We start from the raw sequence: 23508 nt of genomic DNA on the forward strand, positions 1-23508 counted from the left end.
TCAGTTACTATAAGTTACCACACTAACAGGATAAAAGAAAAATCACTAGTACATTGATAAAAATGGAAAAGCATTTCTTAAAAATTCAGCATCCAAATATAATCAAAAACGCTTGGCAAACTAGGAATAAGAACTCCTTAAAATAAAATAAAATAAAATAAAATGAAAACAGGCAAGGAGAACAAAAATTAAAAAAAAAAAATTTTACAAAAATCACCATACTTAACAATGAACAAATGTTGAAAGTCTTTCTTTTAAGACCTGGGAAGGGATAAGAGTATGTACAATTGCCACATCAATTCATAATTGTATATGAGGTCCTAGCCTGTCAAGAAAGGCAAAGACAATTTTTAAAAGCATAAGAATTAAAAAAGAAATAAACTGTAAATATTAGCAGATGATATGGTTGTGTATGCAGGAAATAAAAAGAAGAATTTACAGATAAATTACCAGAATTCATTTCTTAAGTTAGCTACATTCTGGATACAGGTGAATATATAAAACAGCAATATTTCTACATCCCAGTAAAAAAGAAACAGAAAATGAAATTTTAAAAAGACATAATATACAACAGAGTGAAAAAAATATGAAACACCTAGGAATAAATATAATAAATGAAGCTTAAAACCTCTACACAGAAAACTATAAAACACCGAGAAAAACTTGTAAAGATCTAAATAAATAAAGGAATATACCATGTTCATGGATCAGAAGACTTGATACTATAAAGGTAAAAATTTTGCCCAAATTTATTTACAGACTCAATGTAATGTCAATCAAAATCTCAATAGCTTTAACATCTTTGTTGCTGCTGTTGTTTTGTTTTGGTGAGACTTTGCAAGCTGATTCTAAAATACAGATGGGTCCCAACTTACAATGGTTCGACTTACAAATTTTTTTTTTTACTTCATAATGATGTGGAAGCTATACAAATTCGGTTTGCTCCTTGACTTACAATAAGGTCACATCTGGATAAACTCACTGTAAATTGAGGATATTTTAAGTTAAAAAAATGCATCAATATTTTCAACTTACTGAAACATAACTCTACTGTAAGTAGAGGAGCATCTGTATTGTGCTCAAAGAATAGTCAAGAAACCTGTAGAAAACAAAGAACAAGATAATAGAACTTGATCTACTGCATATAAACTCTTATGATAAAAGTACAGTACACAATTACCTATGTAACAAACCTGTGCATGTAACCCATGAATCTAAAAGAAAATTAAAATAAAACTACAGTGTGGTGTTGGTGCAAGAATATGCTAATAAACAAAAGACATAGACTAGAAAACCCAAAACAGACCCACACACATACGGGTACTTGATTTATGACAAACGTAGCTCTACAGAACAGTGAAGACAGAATAGCCTTCCCAATAAATCATTCTGGGGCAAATGAATGTCCACAAAAAGTTTAAAATACAATACCTAACCCCTACTTCACACAATATGCAAAAATTAATTCCCAGTGATCTGTACATGTTAAGGTGGGGGTTAAAACTGTTACATTTCTAGAATATATAAGAATGTCTTTATAACCACAGAGCAGGAAAAGACTTATTGAACAGAACACAATAAAATATTAACCATAAAGGAAATGGTATTTAAAAGGAAATGGTATCTAAACAGGACTTAAGGAATTTTAAAAATTAAGAATCTCTGTTCATTCTTTACAGAGTAAATAGGTAAGGAACAAATGAAGATTTTGCCACACATGTAACAGTAGGCTTATACCCAGAACATATTTTTTAAATTTCTACAAGTTAGTAAGAAAAAAGACAATCCGGTTGAAAAATGGACAAGAGACTTGAACAATCATATCTCAAAATATTCCAAATGGCTAATAAACATATGGAAAAATGCTCAACTTCATCAGTCAGGAAAAAGCAAATTAACCCTGCAATGTGATATTACTCCAAAACCACAACAATGGCTAAAATTACAAAGACTGACAGTGTTGACAAGGATATGTGATGGAACAAGGGGAACTTCCATATGCTGCTGGTGGGAGTATATTGGTACAACTACTTTGGAAAACTGGTATCATCTACTGAAATTGATAATACATTATGAGCTAGCAATTCCTCTCCTGTTTATAGAGCAAATAGAAACGTATGCCCACAGGCACCAAGAAACATGCCCCAAAATGACCATAGCCACATTATCCATAATGCCCCCAAATGAACCATCCAATGGGCCACCAACAATACAGTTGATAAAGAGATGAATAAATTGTGGTATACTCATATCATAGTTTTCTACACAGAACAGAAAAATGAATGAATTACAACCAACAGCAACAAAATGAATATCACATACACAAGGCTGAGCAAAAGAATCCAGACACAAATGAATATATACTCTATAATTCCATTTCATTTCTTGCTTAAAAAAAAAAGCAAAACCAAAATATAGTGTTTAGGGATATGTTCTTTGGAAAAACTACAAAGAAAATCAAGGAAGTGTTTACAAAAAAGCATGAGGATAGTCTTTATCTTTGGGGGAGGTGACAATGATTGGCTGAGAATCACAAGGGGGCTTTTGGCACATTAGCAGTGTTCTATATTTTTTATCCTGGTGTTCTATTTTTTTTTATCCTGGTGTTGGTTGCCAAGTGTTCACATTGTAGTAGATCACTGCACTTTGCATCTGATTTCTGTAATTTTATGTATATGTATGAAATCTCAGTCAAAGGGGGTTAAATAAATCAATCAAATGCATCCACAATGGAAGACTTCATTGCACCAATGCCTATACATATTGCTTGGAATCAGGAACCTAGAATATCTTAATTTTTAAAAAATGTTAAGTGTCCTCAACTTTGACCCACTGTTTTTTATAGCTTTCTGTGCTAATCTTTCCAAGCTCCCTGATGACCACACTTTGAGACCACTTCTGGCCAGTTCACACTGGGCAAGTTTCCCTACTCATCTGTCATCTATTTGCTGGGTGTACACATGTACACTGATCCAGATAATGCATATTATGTAAAGGTCCTGAGATCTTCCAGAAAATCTCCAACAGCTGATATCTAACACTTACTCTTCCCTCCTCTCCTCACAGGCAGATCTTTTTCTTTCTTCAGTTCTAAGCTCAAGCGTCACTTCCTCAAGGAATCTTTCCTTTGCCTCCACCTCCAAGACCCCATCACTTAACTGGGACTAACCAACATCATGTTCCTCTTCTTATGATATTTGTTCTGATCATTCTCAGTTTGCCCCCATCCATTCCTGGGAGGCTGATCCCAAGAAACTACATTACCAGGACTCTTTCCAGCTAGATTCTTTTTTTTTTTTCCTTTTCTAGCGATAAGGTCTCACCATGTTGCCCAGTCCGGATTTGAATGCCTAGGCTCAAACCATCCTCCAGCCTCAGCCTCCCCAGCAGCTGGGACTACAGGCATACACCACCATGCCCAGTTCCTTAGCTGGCTTCTATTGGGTTCCAGGGATGGGAGGCAGTGGCAGAAGCTGGGAGGGTGGGAGAAGAGAGAAGTCAGGGCATGTACTCCCCACTCCCTTTCTGCTATTGTCTATGTTTTTACAAGTAGCTGCTTCTCTCCAGGCTCAAGTTCCTCTTCCCTGGCTCCAGCTCTCACGGACTCCTGAGAGTCCTGCCTCTGGTTTGCCTTACACCAGTTCAAATAACCATGCCTCTATTTTTCGAAGTTGTCTTTTCACTCATCTCTCTTCATTTGGATTCTGTTTTCTGCTGGGACTCTGTAGAGTGGCAATTTTACTTTAATTTATGTGATTATTTCATCAATACCTGTCTTCTACTAGGCTTGAGCTTCACAACATTAGCACTTCTAGAAGTTGCCAACAAATATTTGTTAAATGATTTAGTGAGTTAGTGAATGAATGAACTTACATTAGAATCAGAATATACTACACATTGTGTAACATTTCTAAAATGTTCCTGCTACATTTGACATGGCACCAAGGTATTAGACCAAACATTTTACCTCTCTTGCTTGAAAATAGCCTTTGTTGTCATAAATACTTTTACTCATGACAATGATTTCAATTATTCCATTAATAAGTGCAATCACTGTGATTTCTCAATTTACAAGATGTAATTTTACCTAAGTGAAAGAAGTCATTGATGACAAGATGAGATTTCAAGTGGACCGTAGTCAGTTATAGCTCTAAGAACCAGTAGGAACACAATACAAATGTTAAGCAGAAAAAGAAGGCTCTGAATCCCTGAATTTTTCACATCCTATTACAAATGACACAGGTAAATGAATACTTAATGCTTACAAGGTGTAGGAGGGTTAATTGCAGAAGGAAATGTTCTCTTTTTACTACAATAAATTATCTACTCTGTGTTGTTGTCCTAGGCTTAAAGGACTACATGGGCCGGGTGAGGTGGCTCACGCCTTTAATCCCAGCACTTCGGGAGGCCAAAGTGGGCGGATTATTTGAGATCAGGAGTTCAAGACCAGCCTGGCCAACATGGTGAAACCCCATCTATTAAAAATACAAAAAAAATTAGCCGGGCGGGTTGGTGCATGCCTGTAGTCCCAGCTACTCAGGAGGCTGAGGCAGGAGAATCACTTGAACCCAGGAGAAGGAGGTTGCAGTGAGCCGAGATCACGCCACTGCACTCCAGCCTGGGCGACAAAGCAGGACTCTGTCTCAAAAAAAAAAAAAAAAAAAAAAAAAAAAAGGACAATGTGGGCTGATTCCAATATTAGATATGTAAATTACATATTAACATTTAGAGTTAGATAACTTCTACAAAATGACCTGGAAAATCCTGGTATCAGATCACTAGTAAGTATTTCCAGAATGGGGTCTGGAGCTCTGCAGATTTATCTTTTCTGGTAGAATCAAGATCCTTCAAACATACCAGTATACATTGTACCACATGACACCTGAATTTTAATCTTAAGAAAATTAGTTTATAAATATAATCATAAGTAAATACATATATCAAGAATCTTTATTTCATAGCACAGCATTTGAAAGCAACAATTTACCTATTGTGCAAACTCCAGGTGATATATGAGGTTGATATAAGCTCAACTCTGAGGAGGGTCAAAGTTCATCTCTTTTTTGCAGTCTCCTTTCTAGTGAAACCTCTACTATTTCTTCTGCTAACTTTTTCACTGTAAAAAGTATTCCAGTTCTGTTCATTCTAAATAACACAGAGATGGAGAAGGTCCAATTTCTCTAGTATGGTATGAGTTCGAGATTATTTCTAATATGGCACTACTTTGGATATGGGTCTGACTGATCTTATTATCCTGAATGATATGACATGGCTTCAGCAACAATTACAATAATACCTTGAAGGGAGGGGGTTTAGGGAAGAAGTGATTGAGCAAAAATAGTTAAAATGCAGTTATACAGCCAATTATTTTTACAACTAGAACCAGACAATTTGCTTTGCTTTATGTCTAATTAGGTGAAACAAAAAAATTCCTGTTTCCGTATTCATTCTCTTCGGTCATAACTCATATAGGAAATGACCACATCAGTTCCTTACTTATCGCTTCCCTGGAAACAAAAGAGCATTTTATACCTGATCCTGCTGTTGCCAGTAAAGAAAGTGGAGCAAAAATTAACCTTCTTCCATCCCTCTTTTCCATTTGGAAAACAATATTTTTAAGGGGGGGAGGGGAAGGGAATGATGCATTCAATATATAGGGGATAATACATTCCCTCCGCCCCAGACTCACTCTTTCCCATTCTCCTCAACATATCCACTTAAAGAGCGCTCAGTACGCTGAGGGCCCCAAGCCTGACAGAGTCAAAAAAAGAAGCATCTCTGCCCAACCTGAACATCACGACTCTCGATGCCTCGCATACAACGAGGCAGGGCGGGTCGCCCAGCCCCAGGGGACCGGGCGGCGTCTCCCGAGCCTGCAGCCCAGGCCGCGGGCGGCGCCGCAGCGCTCCCGGCTCCCCTCCTGCAGGGATCGGCCACGGTCCTTACCCGCCAGTCCGCCGCCGCCGCCTCCATCGCCGGCGTGGCCCTTCCTCCGCTGCAGGATGAAGTATGGGTTGGCCCTCTCGGTGATCCACAGCGCGTTGGCCAGCAACACCTCCTCCGGGTTCACCCACATGGTCCTGGCTGCCGCGGGCGGGCGCACAATGGGCCCGTGGGTCCAGTCCTGCACCCACCACCGCGACAGGCGCGCACTCCTGGGCACACGCGCGCCCGCCCGCCCGTCCGCTAGGTGCGGCGGCGGCGGCGGCAGGCGACTTCAGGGGGTGGCCCGCGGCGTCCGGGCCACAACAAAGCCCCAGCAGGCGGCCCGGGAGGACGGTGAGGACGCGGGCGCGGCAAGCAGCATCCTCCCCGCGGCGTCGCCGCCCCGCGAGAGCCCGCGGCCGCAGACGCCCGGCCTGGCACTCTGCAGCCCGGCTCCCGGCCCACGGCGGCGGGAGGAGCGGGAGGAGGAGGAAGAGGAGGAGGAAGGGAGCGGGAGGAGGAGGAAGTGGTATAGCTCAGTCCCGGGATCCGGCTCAGCGCCAGGCAGGGCTAAGGGCCACCCGAGCGGATTCGGCCCCGCGGTCAGGGCCAAGCTGGGCTCCGGCGCTGCTGCTCCCGCGGCGCCGACTGGAGCTCCAGAGCCCCTCCCGTCTCTACCTGCTCGAGCTCCCGAAGTCGCCGCGCCTTAACGCGCCGTGTCGGGGCCGCAGGCGCCACTAGGGAAGCCCAGCTCCCCGCTGGAAGGACGCTCCGGACACTGCGAATGAATGACGACAACGCGGCTCACTTGGAGCGGGTCCGGGTTTGTGCGGACTCGGTACCACCGCGGGCTCCGCGCGCCGAGCTGAGCAGCTGTGGCTGGCTTCGGGGGAACCTTCGGGGGAAGCTCCTGGGGACCGTGTGCCAAGCACTGGGCCCGACGCCCATCCCAGCAGGGAGGACGCCGCCAGCCTGCGTGGGTGCGTGTGTGCTGTTTGTGTTTAAGGTTGACGCTCTATGGGATAGCGCCACCCCTTTTCCCAGGAAAAGTGTTTCAAGGTTCCAGACCTGGAGCTCGGTTAGAGACCCGGGGTCGGAAGCCAACGCAGCCAATGGTCGTCGATGTTTTTGTTTCCTGCATCCCCAGGGCAAGTCATGCGCTAAACTTGTCACCGCTTGTGACCCCTCCCCCCTCTCCATTCCATTGTAATTAAAGTGGCCTAGCTAAGTGCATTACATCACTTCTTTCCTTGACCTGTAGGGCGTGAGCAATAGAGAAGTTGGAAGCGGCCCAAAAGCTTAGACCAACTAATTCACACCACAGCTGTTCCTATATCGCATTTGGGGCTTCGAAAACTGGGCATGGCAGAATTTTAAAATTTATCCACTCTTGGTAGATGGATTTTTTTTTTAATCAGTGAAACCAGAAACACACAAACCAGGGCAGCTTTATCCCTAGACAGTTTCAGTTTCCCCAAATACTTCGAGCTTCCAGTGGTGATCACAGCCCATCTGCCTACATATCTGATGACCATTTTTTTTTCCTCCCGCCCAGGAGATCTGGAGGATAGTTCAGCCAAAAAAAAAAAAAAAAAAAAAAAAAAAAAAGTTCCTCTTCCCAAATGATGGGAATTTAGCAGACTCTGCTTTGTTGTGGATGCTGGGCAATCCTAGGGACTTTTCCCTTTCCAAATGAGCAGAGATTCAAATGAAACCTTCTTGTGTGGGCTTCAAAATTGTGACTTTTGTAGCTCCGACTTGAATTGTTGAATTCCTTCAATTAGTCGAATGAGCAAATCACCAGCCATTCTAATGAGACTGCCATTTCATCTGTTCGCTTCCTACCGCTTGGGCTCTCAAGGAATGGAAGTTTCCCTTGATGTTACCACACAGACTGATCTGCTTCTTCCAGGCATCAGTGGAAACCTCATGTATTTAACACAGACTCAAAAAACTCATTTGGCACTTTTGGTCACAGTGCAGTGCCTTCAGTCACAAAATCTGCAAATAAAAAGCAAACAATAAGATTATAAGTCATACATATGCAAAAATTATATTAATATATCATGTAACTTTTATATTTTTGAAGTGTTTCCATAGGTATTCTTTTACTTGATATAATTGGTATTTTTAAAAACTCTAAGTGCCTTAATACCATGTTGGGGTTTGGAAAATGATACCACAAAGCATGGTGCTTTGGCATGCTGAGTACTTTGAACTAAAGGAGATTGAAAGGCCTCAGAAGCAGTTTCTCTCTGACCTCCTTCTGCCCTCCTGTCTCCCACCTCTCTTTCTCCCCCAAAGTGAGTCATGGAAACTAAAGGCAGGTCATAGAAACTAAAACCCCTCTTCCCAAAGGAAGCTACAAAACCTAGAAATATTACCATTCCTCACTCTTCTGTGTAAGAGCAGACATAAAGAATAGAGAAATAAAGAAATTATCTACCCTACCTTGTTGGATAGTAGGTCCCCTTTCCAAAGGAGTCCTGCTCTAAACCCAGGAGGAGGGAAAGCTATACGGAGAGGCCAAGAAGAATCTGAACAGACAGACTGGGTCTGTTCTCAGTCTATTACCATTGGATCTTACCCTTTTGTCCAACCACATCTACATGGCTGCCCACTCTTCATTGAACCTAAGCACAAAAATGGACAGAGCGAGACTCTCTCAAAAAAATAAACAGGCTGGGCATGGTGGCTCATGCCTGCAACCCCAGCATTTTGGTAGGCAGAGCCAGGAGGACCCCATCTGTATTAAACCAGAGAGACCCCATCTCTATTAAAAAAAAATAGACAGGTTTCCCTGGGTTTTTCCGTCTTCATTTCTGAAGGTTCCCATGTCACCTAAAACTTTGATTAAACAAATGTGTTGTGCTTTTCTCTTGTTAGCCTGTCTTTTGTTATAGGTGTGTTGGCTATGACCCTTATGGGAAGGAAAGATATCACACCTTTTCCCCTACAACAATCTTTTGTTTTTGTTTTGTTTGAGACAAAGTCTCGCTCTGTCACCTAGGCTGGAGTGCAGTGGCACGATCTCAGCTCACTGTAACCTTCACCTCCCAGTTCAAGTGATTCTCCCACCTCAGCCTCCTGAGTAGCTGGGACTACAGGTGTGAGCCACGACGCCCAGCTAATTGTTGTATTTTTAGGAGAGACGGGGTTTCACCACGTTGGCCAGGCTGGTCTTGAACTCCTGACCTCAAGTGATCCGCCCGCCTTGGGGCCTCCCAAAGTGCCAGAAGCCACCATGCCCGGCCTACAACAATCTTTTGGCTTGCCCTTGGCATGCTGCTTAAGGTTGTGGTTTCACACCAAAACCTATACCCTAGCCCCAAAATGTAAGTTACTTTGGCCTTTTTTATATACTGGTACCAAGTGCTATTTACTTATACAATTTATTCATTCATTCATTCATTCATTCACTTATTCAACATATAATTATTGAATGCCTACTATACTCTAGGCCTTGGAATAAAAAGTGAACAAGGCCAGGCGTGGTGGCTCAAGCCTGTAATCCTAGCACTTTCGGAGACCGAGGCAGGTGGATTGCCTGAGCTCAGGAGTTCGAGACCAGCCTGGACAACAAGGTGAAACCCCGTCTCTACTAAAATGCAAAAAATTAGCCAAACGTGGCACCATGCACCTGTAGTCTCAGCTACTCTGGAGGCTGAGGCAGGAGAATTGCTAGAACACGGGAGACGGAGGTTGCAAGGAGCTGAGATCACGCCACTGCACTCCAGCCTGGATGACAGAGTGAAAAAAAGTGAACAAAACATACAAAGTCCCTGCTTTTGTGAAGATTAAAATGTAACCAAAACAAGCTTATAAAAATTTGCTTTGAGAACAAGATTGGACACCAAGAGGAAAGAAGAAACATTTTAAAATCCTTAGCCATTTTCTAGTTTCTTGGAAGATTTAGAGCACATTCTCTCCAGGAAATCATGCCATTATTATCATGACTTGTGATAACCTGTAGTAAAAGGACATTGCAAAAAACTAGAGAAACTATAAGGAGTTTTGGTGGCTTTCCAGTCCCATAGTGCTACCTACTCAATTAAATGTGACTTTGAAAAAAAAAAAAAAGACAATCAAATATACCTAGACAAGAAATGACATAAGGAGAACCTAATTAATCTAACTAGTTCCTCTGTGAAATACATGACTATTTTTAGCTTTCAATTTATTCTCACTGGTTTTAAGCCCTAGGATAGTCTCAGACCACCTGAAGAGGAAAAGCATTCAACAGATGCCTAGATAAGGTAGAGGTAGATGATGTCTTTGTCTGCCTGCCTGCCTGCCTTCCTTCCTTCCTTCCTGCCCTCTGTCCCTCCCTCCCTCACTTCTCTCTTTCCTTCCTTCCTTCCTTCATTCCTTCCTTCCTTCCTTCTTTCTTTCTTTCTTTTGACAGAGTCTTGCTCTGTCACCCAGTCTAGAGTACAGTGGCACAATCTTGGCTCACTGCAACCTCCACCTCCCAGGTTCAAGCAATTCTCCTACCTCAGCCTTCCCAGTAGCTGGGATTATAGGTGCCCGCCACTGCGCCCGACTAATTTTTGTATTTTTTTAGTAGAGACGGGGTTTCACTATCTTGGCCAGGCTGGTCTTGAACTCCTGACCTCGTGATCCACACGCTTCGGTCTCCCAAAATTCTGGGATTACAGGCGTGAGCCACCGCACCCAGCCGTGTCTTTCTGTCCCTCAGATCTCTCACTCTCTCCTCCAACCCTAATAGGGTTCCTATTTTTTTTTTTTTTTTTTTTTTTTGAGACGGAGTCTCTCTCTGTCACCTAGCCTGGAGTGCAGTGCCGCCATCTTGGCTCACTGCAACCTCTGCCTCCTGGGTTCAAGTGATTCTCCCGCCTCAGCCTCCCAAGTAGCTGGGATTACAGGCGTGAGCCACCATGCCCAGCTAACTTTTGTACTTTTAGTAGAAACGGGCTTTTACCATGTTGGCCAGGCTGGTCTCGAACTCCTGACCTCAGGTGATCTGCCCGCCCTCACCTCCCAAAGTGCTAGGATTATAGGTGTGAGCCACCGCGCCCGGCTGACCCTGATAGGGTTCTGACTGCTTGACCTTCAAGCAGTTAATCCGTGTATTGCTTAGTGGGCAGATCTGACTGAGGCAAAATTCCAAGTGTAGTTAGTTAGTCTTTGGCAATGTCCACCCCCATTTCTGCAGTATGCCCTCCTTTTCTGCTTTTTCACCTTCACAGTGGTGTGTTTTCCTCCTTATCCTCACTCCTCTCCCACTCAGTCCTCTGCTTGGTCTTCTTGGGACTTGCCCCACTTTGGAAATAGCATGGAGTCTCGGAAGCACTGTGCCCACACATCCTGCCTCCCAACTGCGGTGTCTGCTCCTTCATGGCTCAGTTCTCCCAGAAGCAACGGGACAAAGGCTGCAGAACACGGGTGTTAATAACCATTCCAGGTCGGGCACGGTGGCTCACGCCTGTAATCCCAGCACTTTGGGAGGCCGAGGTGAGTGGATCACTTGAGGTCAGGAGTTCAAGACCAGCCTGGCCAACATGGTGAAACCCCGTCTCTACTAAAAATACAAAAATTAGCTGGGCATGGTGGCACATGCCTGTAATCTCAGCTACTTGGGAGGCTGAGGCAGGAGAATCGCTTGAACTCAGGAGGCGAAGGTTACTGTGAGCCAAGATTGCACTACTGCACTCCAGCCTGGGCAACAGAGACTGTCTCAAAACAAACAAACAACAACAACAAAAAACATTGCACTGCCCGGCAGTCCCAGGAGTGGTCAACTAGTAGAAAATTCAGTTTCAGTTTCAGCAGAGAATTCACCCAGCAGAACAATAAAGTGCTAATGTTTCCTTGGAAGAACTCCACTAGGCCTCCTGTCTGAAGATAACATTTTAACAAGAGCTTTTTTTAAAAAAAATTAATTCCCCTATCTTTGATATCCAACCTGGAAGGGCAGTAGCTCTAGTAGGCTATTTGGAATTTCTTATACCCACTGAGGTAGAAGAAGGATGACCAGTTGGGATAGGAAAGAGTAATATTGCTTTGAAGATCCAGTACTTTGCAGTTGCTTTGAAATCTGTATTAGTCAAGATTCTTTAAAGAGACATAACCAATATGCTATATACTATGAGAGAGGATTTTTAGAAGAATCAGCCTGGAGTTCTGATGTCCAAGGATAGAGAAGAAGAATATGTGGTCAGCAAAATGTCCAAGAACAGGAAAAGAAGATCTGTATATGAGATCCACATTCACCTTTTCTCTGTTTTAGTTCTCTCTAGGTCCTCAGCCAATTGAATGGTGTTCTCCTCCACAATGAGAGCAAATCCTTCCTCCTAGTTCACTCAGACTCACACGCTAATCTCTTCTGGAAACACCCTCACACATGCACTTAAAATTAATGCTTTCCTGGCTCTCTTGGTATTCCTTAATTCAGTCAAGTCGCTACCTAAAATTAACTATCACAATACAGAGAACTTCACAGTGGATCTGAGTTGCTAAACCAGCTGGAGAAACTAGATCAACCAGTCACCGCATTGTCAACTCTGCAAGTAATAGAGATAATTGATACAGAAGCCACAGTTAGGTTATTTTAGCTTTAAATGAATGAACAGTTCTGCAGCCAGGACCATCCTTCTAGTATGATTGAAGGGAAAAGATTCCTCAAAATAGTTCTTACTGTAACAGTGCTACCTTGCATCCCTTCATTAAATCATTACACTTTTTATTACATTCTGAGATGCTCTGGAAATAAAGAATAAATGAAACTCCCTCCCTCCCTCCCTGTCTTCTTTCCTCCCTCCCTCCCTCCCTCCCTCCCTCCCTCCCTCCCTTCCTTCCTTCCTTTCTTCCTTCCTTCCTTCCTTCCACAGGATCTTGCTCTGTTGCCAAAGCTGGAGTGCAATGGTGCAAACATGGCTCACTGTAGCCTTAACCTCCTGGGTTCAAGCAATTCTCCCACCTCAGCCACCTGAGTAGCTGGGACTACAAGTGTGTGCCATCACATCCAGCTAATTTTTTAAATTTTTTTGTAGAGATGGGGTCTCCCCATGTTGTCCAGGCTGGTCTTGAACTCATGGGCTCAAGCAATCTTCCTGCCTCAGCCTCTCAAAGTGCTGAGATTACAGGCAAGAGCCATTGCACCCAGCCAAAACATTATTTCTTTCTATGTTGGGAACATTGTGGTCAATGACCTCTGTCAAATGTATCTGTGTTCCTGGAACGAAGGAAGGAAAGAAGACCCTAGCCTCTCTGAGGGAAGAATAAAGCTAAACATTAGCAGAGATTTATTTTCAGACTGACTATTTGTCATCAAACAGGGCAAGTTTTTGTGTTTTTTTTTGTTTTGTCCTTTCATGAAAGAGTCAAACCTAAGGGCAAGTTTTAATGATTGGGAAAGAATGATAAATAAGGTAGAGACTTTAGAACAAAGGGCAGGGTGGTGAAACACTTTTCCTACTTCAAAATTATCTACTGCAAGTTCCCTGAGGGCCAGGACCCTCTTTGTTGGTGTTCTTTTGGTGTGCACAGGACTACTGAATTTCTAAACTTATGTTTACAGATTTAGAAGAAAAAGGCCCTAGGAGACGCTGAACATAGTTATATTGAGCTCCTCATTTTATATAAAAGGAATGAAAGCCCAGAATAAGGAAGAGACTTGACTAGGGTCACTTGGATAATTAATAGCAAAGTTGGAAATTGGTCTTATTTAGAAGACTATGAAGAACCTGAATACAAATTGCAACTTTTTCCTGTTTCTTTACACATTATTTGTCACATTTTTTTCCTCAATAATTAAGTTTATATTTATATAATGCTTTCATGCCATTACCTATCACTGTGGTCTGGATGTTGAGACCTATCCACTGATTGGCCAGATCTAAGCCACATGCCTTCCCTGGTGTAGGTGGTGGCAGAGGAGAGGGGACAGTGTGTGGGGAATAGTCCCCAAGGAAAAAATCAGAGAACTATGAGAATAAGGAGACAGGGTCGTGGGCAAGCCTATGTGACAGAGGTCTATTATACAACCTACTATTGACAACTTGTTTTTTGGTGACTGTATCTTCTTGAAAGTAATTTGATATTGCATGAATATAACATGTTTTGTTTTCTGCTAACAAACCTAGTGGTTTGACTCTTGATAATTATGGTCAGAAGTCATTTGAGTTACTTAATTTCTTTTTTCATATTTAAAGAAAAGAAATTATTGCAAAGGTTCAGATAGACTAAACTAGTACCAGAGACCTTTAGCAAGCTCTCAGATCAGGACAGGTGCAGTGGCTTACACCTGTCATCTTAGCACTTTGAAAGGCCAAGGTGAGAGAATTGCTTGAGGCCAGGGGTTCGAGGCCACGGGTTCAAGACCATTCTGGGCAACATAGCAAGACCCTGTCTCTACAAAAAATTTTAAAATTAGCCAGGCATGGTGGCACATGCCTGTAGTTTCAGCTACTTGGGAGGCTGAGATGGAGGATTGTTTGATCCCAGGAGTTTGAGGCTGCAGTGAGCTGTGATTGTGCCACTGCACTCCAGCCTGGATGACAGAGGGAGGCCCTGTCTGGAAAAAAAAAAAAAAAGGGCTCTGGCCCAGTGCTTTTCTCTTTACCCAAACCCTTCTCTGAATCTCTGCTTCTCTCTGTACATTTGGTCTAGTGTCTTTCTCCACTGATCAGCCTCTTTGCTAACAATAGTATCTGACCCCTTGTAATTTAAGCATACACATGAACCATCATAGCCTCTCTGGTTCCATCTCTCTGTTACTTTCAAGCTATAGCTCCCACCATTCAGTTTTCTCAAGGAAAGAAGAAACATTTCTTGGCTATTTTCTGAATACTTTAGGTAGGTATTTCTTAGCTACAATTCATGAGGAACATCAGTTGGTTCAGCTTATCTTTTTGTCCAAGATCAAGGTTGTTGTATTGCTTACGACTGGCTGTCATCTTGAGGCAGAAGAATAGGGAAATAGGGTAACCAAGGGTTAAGATAGAAGCAAAAGAACAGCAGGTGCAACCAGTTCTAGGCAAGATAGGGCAGTATACAGGCCACATTCTCACGCCTGTGATAACAAGACAGGAATTTCCACTTTAGCCTCTGATTGACCACGGACCAAGTCTCCACTTCATCCTCTGATTGATTGCGGGCCAAGTCTCTATTTCAGCCTCTGATTGGTTGTGGGCCAATCCTTCATAGGGTGTAACCAATTGGAGGCCTCTAAAGAGCACCTGGGGGTGTTACCAAATTCTTTTAGCTTAATAAAAACCCTAAAGAACATTGTAATCAGGCATCTTGGGCTGCTTGCTCGAGCCCACTCCCACTCTGTGGAGTGTAATTTTGCTTCGCTAAATCTGTGCTTTAGTTGCTTCGTTTGTTGCTTTGTTTGTGAGTTTTGTTTATTTCTTTTTTCAACTTGCCAAGAACCTGGACAACTCACAGTCAAGACTTTCCATCTGGTAACAATTTGGTCAGATCAACAAGACATAGCATCTATGTAAGTATGCATATTTTGTGCAACTGGTACTTCACAAATTCTCACGAAAAGTGTCCCATCACTTTGCCTTCAAATGCTATAATAGTTGAAAAATGTCTGAAGTATTTCTTGTTTAACACAAGCCAGTCAACCATGTCAATAAAGACTAAAGCTCTTATACCACCCTGGGCAATATAGTGAGACCCTGTCTATGCAAAAAATGAAAAATTTAGTCTGGCATGGTGGCACATGCCTGTCGTTCCAGCTACCTGTGGGGCTGAGGTGGGAGGATCTTTGAGCCCAGAAGGTTGAGGCTGCAGCAAGCCATGATAGTGCCACTGCACTGTAGTCTGGGAAAAAAAAAAAAAAAAGACAAAAGCTATTTAATGTGGTGTATTTTTAGATATACTGTATGCAGTATAATATACAGAATATCACACAGTGTAATAATTTTTATTATACTGACAACATTCTCATTAGAGAAATACTACATTTTATCTTATAAATCTCAAATCTTTAAAACATTTTTTTCTTTTGAGACGGAGTCTCACTCTGTCACCCTGGCTGGAGTGCAGTGGCGTGATCTTGGCTCACTGCAACTTCCATCTCCCAGGTTCAACTGATTCTGCTGCCTCAGGCTCCCAAGCAGCTGGGATTACAGGCATGCACCACCACACCGAGCTAATTTTTGTATTTTTAGTAGAGACAGGGTTTCACCATGTTGGCCAGGCTGGTCTTGAACTGCTGACCTCAGGTTATCCACCCACTTCAGCTTCCCAAAGTACTGGAATTACAGGCATGAGCTACCACTCCTGGCTCTTTAAAACATTTTTATGGTGTGTTTTACTAAATGATTTAAAAGAAAGAAGAATATCTAGGCATCAATACCAATACATAATAACACCTTACCACCCAAACCTTCTAATTTATCAACTATGTATAAAACCACTTATCTCATTATTTCCAGCCCCTCAGAATTTCCAAACAAGATTGTAAATCATAGAACAGAATTTGATCTGAAGATCCCAAATATTTGAAAAACCTTAAATATAAAACATTAAGGGGAGAAAAAAGTATTCGCTGCACCAAAGGAGAAACTCCCAAGGTTAAACATGAGACTTGGCTGTCAGGCTATCTTTACCAGGATTAATAAAAAGTCAAAACAAAACAAAACCCCAAAAGGACTCAGGCCAGGCACGGTGGCTCACACCTGTAATTCCAGCACTTTGGGAGGCCAAGGTGGGCAGATCACTTGAGGTAAGGAGTTCAAGACCAGCCTGGCCAACATGGTGAAACCCTGTCTCTTTTAAAAATACAAAAATTAGCTGAGTGTGGTGGTGCATGCCTGTAATCTCAGCTACTTGGGAAGCTGAGGCAGGAGAATTGCTTGAACCTGGGAGGAGGAGGTTGCAGTGAGCTGAGATTACACCACTGCACTCTAGCCTGGGTGACAGAGCGAGACTCCATCTCAAAAAAAAAAAAAAAAGGACTCAGTTTTTATTCTTGAGGCTCTCAACACCCTCTCTTTAGGCATTTACTGCTGAGTTTTCTTTTGCAGAGCATTTACTGCTGAGTTTTCTTTTGCAGAGCATTTACTGCTGAGTTTTCTTTTGCAGAATCTTTGCCCTCAGTGATGTCGTTTACTTCTATAAAATACAGACCTAAATTGACATTTTCATCATAAAGTTGTACTGGTGAGAATTTTGCTCTTTTTGTCACTTGCAATCCCCTTATAGGCTGTGAAATGTAATCTTCCATAAAAAGGAAGTGTGTTAAATCACACTGATTTCTATTCCAATGAAAATTACAGTTTGCTTTTAGTGGGCATGACTCAGTCAATCAAATTGGAAGCTTGACATTCTGTCCCTGAATGAAAATTTTTAAAACATCATTTCCTCCCTCTTCTCTTACACGGAGCCAACCATCATTCACCTAAAGGACACTGAAGAGGAAGGCATATAATGAAAACAAAAATAAATGCCTACTGACTTTATCCTTCTCTACAAACTGTGGCCCTCAGATTTAAATATGAAGTGTCAAGTAAGAAGCCTTTTGAAAGAAATGAGAAAATCTTTTTAGATGTGCTAATAGAAGATCACAGAATTCTAGTTAAAGATAGCTGACTGGTGGTTAAATAAAACAGTGCTGTAATAAAGATTACATTTTAATCATACTTGAGTAAAAAGAGAAAAATAATCATACTTGAATAAAAACAGAAAGATAAAAATGAAAAGACTACATTTTATTTAATCAACCCTATGTAGCTATGCTTAAGTCTGCAGTGGAACCCCTTGAAGCTGGTGCCAGATGATATACAGTCTTTCTTAGAACCAGGAACAAGTAACCACCTGTATATAAAAGTGTGTGTGTGTGTGTGTGTGTGTGTGTTGTGTAAGGGGAGCACATGAACTATTTTACAAATTTAAACATCTCCAATTAATTCTCCTGATGTTTTATTTTTAATTATACAAGTAAATAATGTTCACTGTAGAAAAATTAGAAAATACAGATAAGCAAAATGGAAAGATGCCAAATCTATATGTATGTAGTGTTTTTATTCTCAAACAGAAAAGAGTTCATGCTATGCCTAAACTTTTGTAACATAGCCTGGACAACACAGCAAGACACTGTCTCTACAAAAAATAAAAATAAATTAGTTGGGTGTGGTCTCATGTACCTTTAGTCCTAATTATGAGGGCTGAGGCGGGAGGATCACTTGAGCCCAGGAGTTCAAAGCTGCAGTGAGCTATGATTGCACCAGTGCACTTTAGTCCAGGTGACAGAATAAGATCCTATCTCAAAATAAAACAAACCTACAAAACTTTTGTAATTGCTTTTATTACATAACAATATTGTGAACATATTTTCAGATTTTTAAAAAATGTACATTCATATCATTACTTACATTGGCTGTGAATTTTTTAATTATATGATGTACCTTCATTTATCTGCCACAATTATTTGCATCTTTAAGATGTTACAAACAAATCTATGATAAACATATTTAACTGTATGTCTTTGTATATTTATCTAATTATTTTCTTTTCTTCTTTCTTTCTTTTTTTTTTTTTTTGAGACAGGATCTCTCTCTGTTGCCCCAGGCTGGAATGCAGTGATATGAACACAGCACACTGCAGTCTCAAACTCCTGGGCTCAAGTGATTCTCCCACCTCAGCTCTCTGAGTAACTGGGACTACAGGCATCTACCACCACGCCCAGCTAATTTTTTTGTATTTTTTTATATTGTCAGGGTCTTGCTCTGTTGCCCAGGCTGGTCTTGAAGTCCTGACCTCAAGCAGTCCTCCTTCCTTGGCCTCCAAAAGGGCTGGGATTACAGAGGTGAGCCACTGCATCTGGCATATCTAATTATTTTCTTAGTATAGACTCCTAAAAGTGGAATTTCCAGGCCATCTAGAATATGCCTTTTAATGTTATTGATATACATTGCTCCAGAAAGAATGTAACCAATTATTTCCCCCAACAAATAAGACAGCACCTGGTTCTCTACAGACTCATCTAATATGTTTCATGAAAATATCTGTCACTGTTTTTTTTGGGTGGAACATGATAATATGACTGCATTTTTATTGCATTTTAGTAATTTCAATGTATGACATATACAATTTTCCAAGATTAAAATAGTTTGTTTTCTGATTATAAAAATTATGTTTATTAGTAAAATGAGCAAAATAGAAAAGCATAAGAGAAAGCAAAATTCCTCAAAATATCACCACTTAGAACTAACAACTGACCTTCCACATATCAATCTGTGCATATTAACATATATGGACAAGAAGACATCCTTTATTCCTGGGCTAAGTGCTGTTCTGAGATAACATGACTTTCCATCTGTATTCCAAGGACATCTTTGATGCTCTTTATGTAGACTGAATTAAACTAAAGATCAGGACTGCAATTATGCAGCCTTTCTCCTAGAGCTCCTGAACAGGTCCAGGGGGTCAGGCGGAGGGAGGTCTGTTTATGCACCACTTGCTTATGTATTTGTAGACCAGGCCCTGAGATGAATCATAACCGTGTGTGGAAAGGTCAGTGATTACCCCAGTGTCTTGCTCAAACTTGAAGTAGAGGACAATGCAAATGATTCTAAATTTCCCCCTTCAAAAGAGGTGCACAGTTCCTTTCTAAAATCTGTGGTAAACTCTACTCAGCAACTGCCAACACAAACAACGTTTTGTAAACAGCAGAAGTGTCACCTACTAGAATAACTGCTTCATAATGTTTTCATGAATCCAACATATTTGAAAAACTGAGGTCCTCTAGAACTCCTTTGTACAGTTAAAAATAGGTATGTAATGCCATTTTATTTATTTCTTTATATATATATTTTTTGAGACAGAGTTTCACTCTTATTGCCCAGGCTGGAGTGCAGTGGCGTGATCTCGGCTCACCACAACCTCCACCTCCCAGGTTCAAGCGATTCTCCTGCCTCAGCCTCCCGAGTAGCTGGGATTACAGTCATGCGCTACCACTCCCAGCTAATTTTTTTGTATTTTAGTAGAGACAGGGTTTCTCCATGTTGGTCAGGCTGGTTTCAAACTTCCGACCTCAGGTGATCTGCCCGCCTCGGCCTCCCAAAGTGCCAGGATTACAGGCATGAGCCACTGCGCCCGGCCTGCAATGCCATTTTAAATGTTTTCCTCCTAATTTACTTGCTGTGATAGCTTTATCTTGTCAAATATGGCTTTGTCAGCCATGGTACTGCTAGAGGAATTGATTTTCCTTCATTGTCAAGGGGGGTACTGTACATGATTGTCAGAGTGCCCATTTGTTTTTTTTTGGCTGCTCATCATCTGAATATTCTTCCACTTTTTAGGATTGTCCCTCAAATGGCAGCCAGACTTTCTCCACCAGGATTGTCTCAGCTCCCACTTGGCACTTGGTGCTGGTGATCCACTAAGATGCAGGTAGCTCCCCACCCAGCCCTAGAGTTCTCTCTCCACACCTTTCTGATGAGACTTCCCCTGCTCCCAATCAAGAGAACCTCTTCATAGCTGGACATGGTGGTTCATGCCTATAATCTCAGCTACTCAGGAGGCTGAGGTAGGAGGCTTGCTTGAGGCCAGGAGTTGGAGAATAACCTGGGCAACATAGTGAGATCTCATCTCTAAAAAACGAAAAAACAAAAGCAAAACAAAAGAACCCTTCCAGCCTGCCAGTAATTTTTATTCTTTATTGGTGATGGGTGTGCTGTAGAAGGGAAGATATAAATTTCTGGACCTTTCTCTGCTTCTCCCAGTTAGGAGGTTAGCTCTCACAACAGGTACGACATACCTCCAGTTGTGGGTTATGGCTGCTTCAACATGATGGCGTGTGTGTGTGTACACTTGTGTGTAGGTACAATCATCCCTTGATATCAGTAAGTCACTGGTCCCAGGAGCTCCTGTGAATACTAAAATTTGTGGATGCTCAAGTCCCTTATATAAAGTGGTGTAGTCCCCAGTGGGCTAGTGGTTAGGAATAAAATAATATATAAAAATAAAAATGGTGTAGTATTTGCCTATAACTCATACACATCCTCCTGTATACTCTAATCTCTAGATTACTTACATACCTAACACAATGTAAATGCTATATAAATAGTTGTTATACTGAATTGCTTTTTAATTTATGTTAATTTTTGCTATTGCATTGTTATATTTTATTGTTTTTTCTGAATATTTTTACCCCATGGTTGACTGATTCTGCAGATGCAGAACCTGCAGATACAAATAACCAATTGTGTGTATGTATGTATGTATATATACATATATTCACCCATTCTGTTTATTATATGATTGATATTTATTGAGCATTAATTATGTGCCAAGGCCATAAAAATTATTTCACTTAACCTTTACAGCAACCCCATGAGGTAAAGATTGACTGTACAATTATTGAATTCCATGTTTAGATGAGGAATCCAAGTAAAAAAAGGTGAAGTAACTTCACTAAAGTCACAGCTAGGAAGTAGCCGAGTCAAAATTCTAAACAAGGCAGTCTAAATCTAGCCTATACTCTCAGTCATCATGCTACTTGCCTCCTATAAATATTGTTTATTGTAATTATGACTTCATCCCATAGTTGTCTCAATATTATTGCTTACTAAACTTCATTAAATGATAGAATCATTTTCAGACCGCCTTTGGTGCTTTAAGTGTTTTGTATGCAGATAGGCAAGACTTGAGTGAAATTCTACAAAAACAGTGAAATGATGGCAAGAAAGGAAATGTGGTAGGGTTATTCTCAAAAAGGCACTTTTAGCTGGTAACTGTTAAACACAGCTAGGAAATCTTACGTGGACAATAGTCACCAGTTCTTTCCTTCATTTTTATTCAGATTTCCACTAAGAAATTTAAACTCCACTTGTTCTTTGGTTTGCCTTTTCCATTATTTGACAGTGGTAAGATTTGTGTAAGTCAGTGGTTCTCAAACGTTAGCATGCACCAAAACAACCTGGAGAAATTGCTAAAAGAGAATGGTGGGTCTTACCATCAGAATTTCTGACTCAGTAGATCTGCTTGAGGCCTGATAATATGCATTTCCAACAAGCTCCCAGGTGATGTTGATGTTATTGATCCAAGGACCACACTTCTGGGAACCACTGGTGCAGGTGGTCTCAAATTCCTGAGCTCAGGCAATCCACCCAAGGGTGCCTCAGTTGGGTGTTCTTTTTTAGATAATCCATGGATTTATTTAAATATATGCATGGGATCTGGGTATTAAGCCTTTAGCCCTGGATTGATTTATCCCTTGACACGACTCTGCTTTAATGAAATGATCTAAACTCACCTGTCAGCTTTACAGTGGGTCCCAAATTATCTTTGTGATTCTGTATTCACCTGATGGACTCTACTTAAAGGCAACACATTGATTCACTAATTGTTACTGAACACCTGTTAGATGCCTGGCACTGTGGGAATGTGTTGTTGAAAAAAGGCAAACATGATCTGTAGCCCCATGAAGCTTATAGCAGGTAGGCATCAAATATTAATCAACAATTAAAATAAATGTAAATGTCTACTGTGATAAGCGCTAAAAAGAGGGACATGGTGGTGTTCTTTCATCTTAAAGTCAGAGATTTGACTTAGTCATGGTCATAATCGAAATTCTTCCCCAAGGTGATGCTTAAGCTGAGAGCCAAAGGACAAAAATCCCCACTAAAAGATATTTCAAATGACAATTGAACATTAAATAAAAAATAATTTTAGAGAAGAAATGTTCAGCTACAACACCAAAAGCTCAGGCAGCCCCTGTGGATTGTTGAATGACCTAGAACATATGGTATTTTCATAAATAACTAATCTCCTGACACTTTCATTTTATTTTTATTATTATTATTTTTTTAGACAGAGTCTCACTTTGTCTCCCAGGCTGGAGTGCAGTGTCGTGATCTTGGCTTACTGCAACCCTTGCCTCCTGGGTTCAAGTGATTCTCCTGCCTCAGCCTCCCAAGTAGCTGGAATTACAGGCACTCATCATCACACCAGGCTGACTTTCATATTCTTAGTAGAGATGGGGTTTCACCATGTTAACCAGGCTGGTCTTGAACACTTGACCTCAAGTGATCCACCCGCCTCGGCCTCCCACAGTGTTGGGATCACAGGCATAAGCCACCACGCCTCCTCCTGATACTTTAATGCTTTGGGTCCCCATACCAAATTTCTAACAGTTTAAAACATCGTATGACACTAGTGAGAATTGATTAGGGTTTATTTCTCACTTATCTAGCAGATCTACTTCTGTTAGGAAAAATATCCAGCTAACGTTGGGAAAATCCTCACACTTTAATGTGTTTTGGTAGAGTTTACAAGTGCAAAAGTTTCATGTGCTATCCCTCCTCTAAGAGAATAAAGAAAGAGCTAAAATACCTTCGACTCACTTGAGCAAACCTGATGTTACCCTCTGACGCAGTCTCGCCATGTTCGAAGTGTCCATGAAGACACTGAACATTTCCTCAAGAAAATAATCTCCTCTCTCCAAAGCTTATTAAACAAATGTAAACATATTCTCTAGTGTGGGGTAATAAAATATAGTCCTCTATTTCTGTTTTCTTCCTTTTCTATTCCTAGTAGAAACCAAGAAGAATCTGAAAAGTTGAGCCAAAACAATATCCGTGGCAGCAGAGTGAAGAAGAAAAG

The 23508-nt window shown here is 41.4% G+C and overlaps 1 protein-coding gene across 1 annotated transcript in view, besides 5 other annotated features; it reads right to left on the minus strand.

Moving 5' to 3' along the window:
- TBC1D9 (TBC1 domain family member 9) overlaps window positions 1–6416 on the minus strand; it is a 135604-nt gene extending 129188 nt beyond the window's left edge. The window contains exon 1 of the mRNA NM_015130.3: window positions 5947–6416. Coding sequence (NP_055945.2) covers window positions 5947–6076 — 130 coding nt within the window. The 5' untranslated portion in view covers window positions 6077–6416. The remainder of the gene's footprint in view (window positions 1–5946) is intronic.
- Window positions 5769–6458: a silencer, noted in NCBI's record as "silent region_15712". NCBI's record gives its function as "represses an Ori minimal core promoter by ATAC-STARR-seq in GM12878 lymphoblastoid cells {active_cell/tissue: GM12878}" and the evidence as "EXISTENCE:reporter gene assay evidence [ECO:0000049][PMID:35858748]".
- Window positions 5769–6756: a biological region, named in NCBI's record as "H3K27ac hESC enhancer GRCh37_chr4:141677237-141677879".
- Window positions 6114–6756: an enhancer, noted in NCBI's record as "H3K27ac hESC enhancer chr4:141677237-141677879 (GRCh37/hg19 assembly coordinates)". NCBI's record gives its function as "activates a minimal SCP1, AML or CMV promoter by ChIP-STARR-seq in naive H9 embryonic stem cells {active_cell/tissue: H9 hESC(naive)}" and the evidence as "EXISTENCE:reporter gene assay evidence [ECO:0000049][PMID:30033119]".
- Window positions 6757–7398: an enhancer, noted in NCBI's record as "NANOG-H3K27ac hESC enhancer chr4:141677880-141678521 (GRCh37/hg19 assembly coordinates)". NCBI's record gives its function as "activates a minimal SCP1, AML or CMV promoter by ChIP-STARR-seq in naive H9 embryonic stem cells {active_cell/tissue: H9 hESC(naive)}" and the evidence as "EXISTENCE:reporter gene assay evidence [ECO:0000049][PMID:30033119]".
- Window positions 6889–6938: an enhancer, noted in NCBI's record as "active region_21937". NCBI's record gives its function as "activates an Ori minimal core promoter by ATAC-STARR-seq in GM12878 lymphoblastoid cells {active_cell/tissue: GM12878}" and the evidence as "EXISTENCE:reporter gene assay evidence [ECO:0000049][PMID:35858748]".

The sequence above is a fragment of the Homo sapiens genome, chromosome 4, assembly GCF_000001405.40.
Source record: "Homo sapiens chromosome 4, GRCh38.p14 Primary Assembly".
NCBI lineage: Eukaryota > Metazoa > Chordata > Mammalia > Primates > Hominidae > Homo > Homo sapiens.